The following is an 8,900-nucleotide window of genomic DNA, read 5'->3' on the forward strand; positions in this document are numbered from 1 at the left end:
ACTGCTCTCATCCTCACTCATTCCCCAGTCACACTGTCCTCCTTGCTTTCCTTAAACTTATCAGCCTTACTCCCATCCCACCAGCTGTTCAGCTGTTTCCTCTGTCTGCAGCCCTTCCCAGCCACCTACATGGATGGTCCCTCACCCCCTTCATCTACTTGTTCAAATGGCACCTTCTAGGTGAGGCCTCCCTAACCACCCTGCTTAAAATGTCAGCCTCCACCCCAGCCCCTGTATTTCCCATCCACCTTACCTGGGCTTCATAGCATTTGATGCCTACTAAAGTACTGTGATTTACTTGCTAGTTTTGTTTATTTGCTGTCTCCCTTCATTCGAATGTGATAACTATGAAGGGAGAGATTTTTGTCCATGTGGCTCACAGCTGTGTCCTCAGTGCTCAGAACAATGGCCAGTAAACGTATGTTAAGTGAATAAATTTCAGACACTCTAGGAAATCTTTCTACTTTCTTTTGCATAAAACGTTGTTTCTAAATTATCCCTTCCTAGGCCACATACAGAACAAAGTTGACAGTACTCAAAAGTTGGCTGACTACTGTAATAATTCTGTCCCTACATATTCTCATTCTTGAGAGAAAAGTACATTTGCTTTATTTATGAGGCACAGAGGGTTATTGCTCTGTAATTATGACTACTGAGGACATGTTATGGGTTGAATTGTGTCCCCTCAAAATCCATATGTTGAACCCTCAGCACCTCAGAATGTGACCTTATTTGGGATAATATTATTGCAGATATAATTAAGATGAGGTCATACTAGAGTAGGGCGGGTTCCTAATCCTGTATGACACAGACATACAGACAGAGAGCACCATGTGAAAGACAGATCTACAAACCAAGGAATGCCAAAGACTGCCAGCAAATTACCATAAGCTAGGAGAGGGGCATGGAACAGTTTCTCCTTCATAGCCATCAGGAGGAACCACTCCTGCTGACACCTTGACCTCAGACTTCCAGCCTCCAAAACTGTAAGACAATGAATTTCTGTTGTTTGAGCCACCTGGTTTATGGTACCTTGTTATGGCAGCCCTAGGAAACTAATATAGGACCTATGGAACTGTGGCATCTTTTTGTTTTTGTTTACAAGTGGTTCACATAACTGGTGCAGAATACCACTCAACAAACATATCAAATGAGTAATGGGGAAAGATCGCCATGATCAGCTTCAAGGAGGACGGACAAGGAAGATGGGAAATAGAAAATCAACACTGGACTGTCATTCCCACCAGAGCATTGACCATGTCATTTAATATTCAGTTTCCAGCACAGAACCTGATTCTGATTCTCAAGATGCATTTGTTGAGAGAAACTGAATATCGGGCAGAGCAGGCAGCTCTATGCCAAGCAAGAGATCTTAGATGGGAGATTGTGGTGCTGGGGAGCTGGTGTTCCCTGATCCATTCACGATGTTTAAGCAACCATTCTGATTTCACATTGCCAGGAGTCTCCCTACCAACACGACACCCAGGTTCTGTGTCATTACTTGAGTTTGCTTTTACTTAGGTAGATAGTATGTGGTTTTTAAAGTATATTTCTAGGATTATTGGTAGGAACAGATTTATTTTACATTTAAACAGCTGGCTCAATATTCATTTAAACTCAGATGTGTAATTCTGTTGTTAAATTATTGTGTTTCTAAAAACTTCACTTTCTTAAAGGCTGATGTGAATACAAAACCTTCAGAAAGATTGTTTGAAGCCACAATAGGTGTTCCTAATAGATTGCCTTTCTTGGTTGGTTATTTTACAGTAGAGGAGAAAATGATGCTATTGTCATGGATTAAAATATCATGTTTTAAATATCATTGCTATTAAATATCAAGGACACAAAAAACCAAAATAGGACAAAGATTTAGGATAAAAGAAGTGGGATCCAATATAATATTTTTGAAATGTGCTTATTCATTTGAGTTTAGAATGCATGTGTCTGGACAACTCAAGTAAATTTTGTTTTTCCATCTGAAATACTCGTATTCTTATTTTTATTTTTTGAGACAGTCTTGCTCTGTCACCCAGGCTGCAGTGCAGTGGCACACTCTCGGTTCACTGCAACCTCTGCCTCCCAGATTCAAGCAATTCTTATGCCTCAGCCTCTCAAGAAGCTGCAATTACAGGTGCACGCCACCACGCCTGGCTAATTTTTGTATTTTAGAGACAGAGTTTTGGCATGTTGGCCAGGCTAGTCTTGAACTGCTGACCTGAAGTGATCTGCCCACCTTGGCCTCCCAAAGTGCTGGGATTACAGGTGTGAGCCACTGTGCCCGGCCTCCATCTGAAATACTCTTAAAAAGAAATCGTGACTTTTTATGCCTGAAATTTTTAAATGTCTCTATCGTTCATCTGTGGTTCACTAAAAAGGGCCATAATTCCCTGATTATCTATATCTTGAGAAGTGTGAAGTGTGATCTAGTCGCTCTCCTCCTGACCTGCTGACCAGTGACTGCTTTGACCACCGAAGTATGGCAGAAGAAATGCCATGCCAGTCTGTCTGGTCCTCTTGGACTCTCAGTTACCATCTGAGAAGTCTGACAGGCCTGCTACCATACATTGAGGAGACCCTAGGTAGCCACATAGGCTTGAAAAGGGAGAGAGATTGAGAGAAAGAGAGAGATGGCTGGGCCCTTTTCCCATCTCTTCCAGCCCCTAGCCATTTGAATTATCCCAGACATTGTTGAGCAAAGACAGTCTCCACTGTACCCTGTCCAAATTCTAACCCACAAAATAGACATAATAGACCCAGAGTGAGACATACTACTCCTACTAATAAATTGTTTTAAGCCACCAGCATTTGGGGTAGTTTGTTATGCATCAGTAGGTAACTGGGCCATCATCTTTCTCATATAGATAGCTTCAGATGAGATCTTGTAACTTCCCAGGTGTTCTCTTTATGACATCTAATAATACCTCCAGTCTTCAGAATTGGAATTTCTTCTTGAGTTATATTATGCTTTCCAGCCCAGCATATACTGATTAATTTCTTGTCACTCAGAAATCATCTGTTCAAACTATTGATATTATTTACTTGAAACCAAAGGTGCCAAAACACTATTTTGTATACTTTTTCTCTTGGTATGGCATGAGTATTATGCTCACTAAATTATTTAAAAGAAAGTACGTGCATCTGATATGAAGATTTTCTTTTAATTGATACTAGGAAAAAGTAGACTTCTCATTAGCATAAACAGTTTTCCAGTGTCTCTTGTAATAGAAATTGCAGTTGGCTCCCAAGAAGTGTAATATAGTATGTGTTGATAAACATGATGAGCAACTGGACTTGCTACCCTCTTTATATGGCCACCAGAAACTATATAATGTGCTTCATAAATGTTTGGCACATATTAAATTCTCAAAAATGCTACTTTTTACCATTTCTCCCTTCTTTTTCTTTTTTGCTGCTATGTAACATTTAAACCTTTGAAAACCCAATGCTGGTTAAAACCATAGTCTATTGCGCGTATGTGTTTTAACCATTTGCAAGGTGAGTTTTAAAAAGCAACCATTTTCGTGGCTAGCAGTTAAAGAGAAATTAGAGGTACAGTATAGTATTAAAGGTAATAGATTTGCAAAGTTCCTCTAGCATTTTGCATTTAGAGGGCTTGCATCAGAAGCTTCCATTGAAGTCAATTCATTTTCCTTTTAAAAGAGATGTATTTAGCACATGAAATTGAATTTACTTGCAAAATTCACTCTGTATCCTGAGAATTAAGTCAGAAGACATATGCAGCAGTTGTTTAATATGCCAAGAAAACAGGGTGTTTGTTTGTATTCAGTATAAAGAAATTACAAATACTTACATGAACATGTGAAAAAAATTCTCTTTAGATGAAGTCAATTGTGCTTTATGTGTTTAAGGGTTCTTTTAATTAAATGAGTTTCTTTTGCCCTGACAAAACAAAACAGCAAGGACATTCCACACAGGAAAAATTATTATATTTTAATTTGAATATAAATTGAGTGGTAGAAGAACACCAAATTATTTTGTCTCTCCTAAAAGGGTAGAATGGAGGGCTTACTTATACACATACCAGGCTCTTTATGTCTCAAGTGAACAGGGGTTTATAGCCCCGGTCTTTAACTGCATTTACTTTCAATCTCAAAACCACTACAGGCTTTAGCACAACTCATAATAATGGGTGGCCTCTGTCCAAGAGGAAGTTCAATGTTGGCATGCTGGCCAAGTTAAGAGCCAGGTATATGCATTAGCAGACTTCATGGGTTTTTGCATAATACTTCACTCAAATGATTGCTATAAATGACTCCAAAATTCATACTCAAAAATGACTGTAGGACTTTTAGTAGGAATACAAAGGGTACAGTGGGAATTTACAGCCGTTCTGTAAGGTTCCTCAAATTTTGATTCTGCTTTGCAAGGTACATGAACTTGACACCCCTGGGAACCATTGCTGTAGAGAATGTATCAGGTTTTTAGTACAGAGGTCAGCTTTTCACTCACTTTGTCACTAGTATGCTCAAAGAAAATTTGTTGGGGCATTTCTTCTCATCCCTGAGATAAAAACAATTGCCCAAGTTTTTTCCTTTTAAATACTTTGACCCAGAGATAGACGATTCTCATCTGTCTAGAGGTGCTCTCAGAATTGCTCTCGTTCTGTGCAGTACATTTCAATAGTGCTATTTATATTAGTTCTCTGAAGCAAAGCATCATATATAGTGGCAAAGCCGTCCACAAAGTGACACATGAAACTGTATTTGCAGTGGGGGCAGCTGATCTAAATCATTTTTTGTTTCTCATTGTAAAAGCCCCTTTATGAAATCCACAAGCTTTTGCCAAGCTCTTCAAACAGTCTTTTAGCCACCACATGAGTTGAGTTCCTGCCTCTGTGCCCTGACTGATTGCTCAGGCAGCTGCGTGGGTGGCTTCAGAGTTGCACTGAAGGCTTTTATGTGGTTTTTTTGGCTGATGGGCTATTTCTACTGTCTTGTCCCTATGGGTAGCAACTCAAATTTGACTGGCTGTGATGAACACATCGTTAGTCATTTGAGAAAAATATCTGGTGAAAATGCCCTGTGATGTAAATACAAATTTGTCTTCTTTTCCCAGCCTGGAAAATTTTCTGCCTCAGAAAATTATAAAGGACTTAGAAGAATTAGATTGTGTCTCATTTTAATGAATAAAAAGCCAACAAAAACATCATCATCTTTGCTGCATTCAAATCGTTAAAGGTTTCTTGAATCAGAAGATAAAAGTAAAAAACAAGAAAGGAAATTTGTTTGCCTCTGCCATGTTACTAGACCATGACTAGGTATATAGTTTGCCATAGACTGCAGTAAATAAAGTGAGTCCTGTTATCACATATTTATTGAGCACCTATTATGTTCCAGGTACTATGCTAAGTAATCTGGTTACAAAAATGAATAAAATGTATTTCAGGTTAGATCCTCTGGAGGGCAGAAACTGAGATGGAATTAAGAGTGCAAATATTTTACTGAAGAGTAAGTCCTGTGAAAGAGAAGCTGAAGAAGCAATACTGAGAAGAGGGAATCATCAGAACATGATAAAGACCTTACAATGTCTGTGCCAGCCCAACAAGAAGTTCCACAGTAATGACTGCCCATTGGAGGAGGACTGCATGGTAAACAAAGGACTAGGCCCTTACGCCACTGCCACGCTCGTTGTTGGCTGGGCACCACCCAAAGAAGGGTCTAACCTCTGCTACCACTGCCTTGCTCAGTCATGAACCAGGGTCTTTCCAAGAAGAATTTGAACGTGGCTTGAACACTGAGGTGAATCCTGAAGAAGTAGACAACTGGAGGCTGCCGGGTAGTCACCTTCTTTCTTCTGGTCAGCGAGTCTTTTCTCCAAGATATTTGGAAATAGCTAGCTCCTCAAGGGCTCTGGTGGGCCTAATTTCCTGAGGGATAGTTCAGAGACAAAATGGAGCCCCTGTCTCTGCAGTTGGTCTCTATGCTACAGCTGGAACTCATCATTTTTCTCCTCCACTATCCATTCTAAATTCTTTTCACTCTATGTTGGCCTTGGCAGTTTTTCTGGAGTAGAATTCCCCATTAAACATAAACTTCTCTGGCTAGGCCTGCTGCATGTTTCCATTTATATGGGCAAAGAGTGGCAAGAGATGCTCAAATTGGATCACTTGAGTGCTACGTATATTCCTGCTTGTCTCTTATACCAGGAAATCTTCTTTCTCATGCATTTTAGGGTCAATTATGACAAGCTGATGACTTCTTTTCTTGTTTGGTGATCCCTGGACATAAATATCCCAAAGTGTTCAAGGGGCAGCTGTATCCTGTATTTCAGGGAATCTCTTGCTATTTCCCTGGGTGAGTGCATGCCCCCTTTAGAAATGAGGGCTTCTCATCCTTCAGAGAGCCCAGGCAGGAATCTGCAGAGTACCCCAGTAGATCTTTGGGAATGATAGTAAGTGGGGCCGATTCTACTGCTATCCCTTGGTCCCAGACCCATGGGAACCTGATGATTCCTGATGAAAATGCGGTGCCACAGTGAGGTCTGATTCAATGATTGTTCTGCTTCCTGGAGGATGGTGCTGCATCTCATAGGGCACCTCTTGTGAGCTAGTGCATCAGTTGCCCCTTCAGCAAGTTGCTCAACACTTTAAAACCCCAGCAGCTTCTGGGCAGTGTGGGAGAAGCAGTGTGTAATATGACTAATAAATTGCATAATCATGGGCCCACCTTGCTCTTGTATTACAGTTAAAGTGGGTTCTCTGGTTGGATGTTGTGTGGAATTCTATGTCTATAGGCATTCCATAAATTCCCAGGTAGTGATGCTTTCCTGTAGGTGGGAAAGGCAAATCCATATCAGGAATGTAAGTATCTATTCCCATGAAAAGAAACTGCTGGCATTTCCAACATGGAAGAATCCCAGTGAAGTCAGTTTGCGACCAAGTGGCCAGTTGGTCTTTTTGAGGAACACTGCCATGTCAGGGGGTTAACATTTGTCTCTGTGGTTGGCAGGTTAGATATTGGAAGTATTAATAGCTAGATGGGCCTTGATGAGTAACAGTCTCTGCTATTGGGCTCATGTGCAATCTCTGTCTCAACTGCCACGGCCACTTTGCGTGTGCATTCTGCCAGCATTGCAGTGGACACATTGACAAAGGTTAGCTAACATAAACTCAGGCCAACCCATTTTGTCTACTGGGTTTACATACTTCACATGCAAATCCACATGTTTATCTCATTCCTCTACCCAAGAATTCCTTACTTTGAAGATTTCCGAGGCTCCCACTTGGCTTTCCCCACTATGATAGTTTTACTCCACAGGCCAGGGACCCAGTGGAGCCCCAGGTTCCAACTGCCAGGTATGTCAATACCACCAGTACATTCAGGGACAAGGAAAATATGTCAGGCTTTGGCCAGAACTCCATTTGTTAACTCTCCCCATATGCTCCAATTATAACAGGTAGACCACGATGATACTTCAGGTCTCTGGGAATCAATGTCAACTCGGACTCTGTGTCCACCAGACCTGTGTTTATTTCCATCTCCACAGTGTATGTAGCTCCTTGAATATGACTGTAGGTTACTTTGTAGAGGCACTAAGGAAATCTTTACAACATACACTTGCCATGGTATTGCAAGGTCTTTCTTTCTAGGGACCCAGACACTTCTTTAGTCAATGGGTTCTGGATCTGAAAATTGGCTCAGGGACAGGAACTGTAAAAAAGATCCTGAATTTTTATTTGGACAACCATTCTCAACTTCCTGCTTCTCTGGTCTTGCTTCGTTCTTACAACAAATGTTAAACAGCACCCTTGTTGCTGCCTATTTTACCCCTAGGGACAAACGTTCAATTAACCATCTCTCAACTCCCTATTGGTCAAAGGCCTTTGGTTGCCCCTCTGACCTGGCCCCCAGTGATTAAGTACCAATGCATGGCTATTGGTACTTCGCCATGCTATTAAAGAACCCAGCTCTGTGACCACCTTCTGTATCACCAGCCCTGGCATGCAGAAGAGAGTCATCACTGAACATCCTAGTGATACTGGTGTCTTTCTTACCAGCACATTCCTGATTATGACATCCAAGACTTGGTCATAAAAAGCTTAGCAACTTCCCCTTGGCATGCCAGGATCTCAGATATCATTATTGCGAGGAAGCTCAAACTAACCCAAGAGAAGAGGGCAAACAGTCCACATCTAGGTGTTCTGCCTAAAAAATCAGTTGAGGTCCCACTCAGCAGTCGGTATCAATTACTAGGCATGTGAGTGAAGGCACCTGCAGAGAATTCCAGCTCCCAGCTGTCAAGTCACCTGCAGCCACTAAGTCTTCTCAGCTGAGGCCCCAGACATCACGAAGCAGAGACAAACTCTCCCCACTGTTTCCTATCTAAATTCCTGACCCCCACAATACATGAGCAAAATAAGATGGCTGTCTTAATGCCAGCAAGTTTTGGCATGCAATAGTAAACAGAGCAAAACTTAAATTCACAAATATAAAATATATTCCTCTCTAGGAGAAACAACTAACTAGAAAATATAATGTAAAATAAAATATTTAGAATAGCTATAAAAACTATTAATACATAGAAACTAGGAATCAGTCTGATAAAGAATGCATAAGAACTTTATAGAAAAAAATGTTGAACTCTGTTAAAGAACATAAAAATTAAATTCAACTAAATCTGTTTTAAAAAGCAAAAGCAATTCAGCAAAAATCCATTGGATTTGACTATATATAAATCAGGATTTCTGTTCGAGGAAGTACACATGTTGAAGTTAACATATACTAAAATGAGATAAAATATTTGTTAAGTCTAAAATTAATAAGGGTTTAATATCTAGACTGTATTGCAAACTTTTATAAATTAGCAGTAAAAAGATAGGAAACAATAAAATATGAGCAAAGGAGATATATTGGCAAGAATGTGAAGGCTGAATGAGGAAC

The 8,900-nt window shown here is 40.4% G+C and overlaps 1 annotated feature.

Annotated features, from left to right (window-relative positions):
- Window positions 4,421-5,620: an enhancer, noted in NCBI's record as "CDK7 strongly-dependent group 2 enhancer chr4:146220501-146221700 (GRCh37/hg19 assembly coordinates)". NCBI's record gives its function as "activates an origin of replication core promoter dependent on BRD2, BRD4, P300/CBP, MED14 and CDK7 cofactors, with strong dependence on CDK7, by STARR-seq in HCT116 cells {active_cell/tissue: HCT116}" and the evidence as "EXISTENCE:reporter gene assay evidence [ECO:0000049][PMID:35650434]".

Source organism: Homo sapiens, chromosome 4 (genome assembly GCF_000001405.40).
Source record: "Homo sapiens chromosome 4, GRCh38.p14 Primary Assembly".
Classification (NCBI taxonomy): domain Eukaryota; kingdom Metazoa; phylum Chordata; class Mammalia; order Primates; family Hominidae; genus Homo; species Homo sapiens.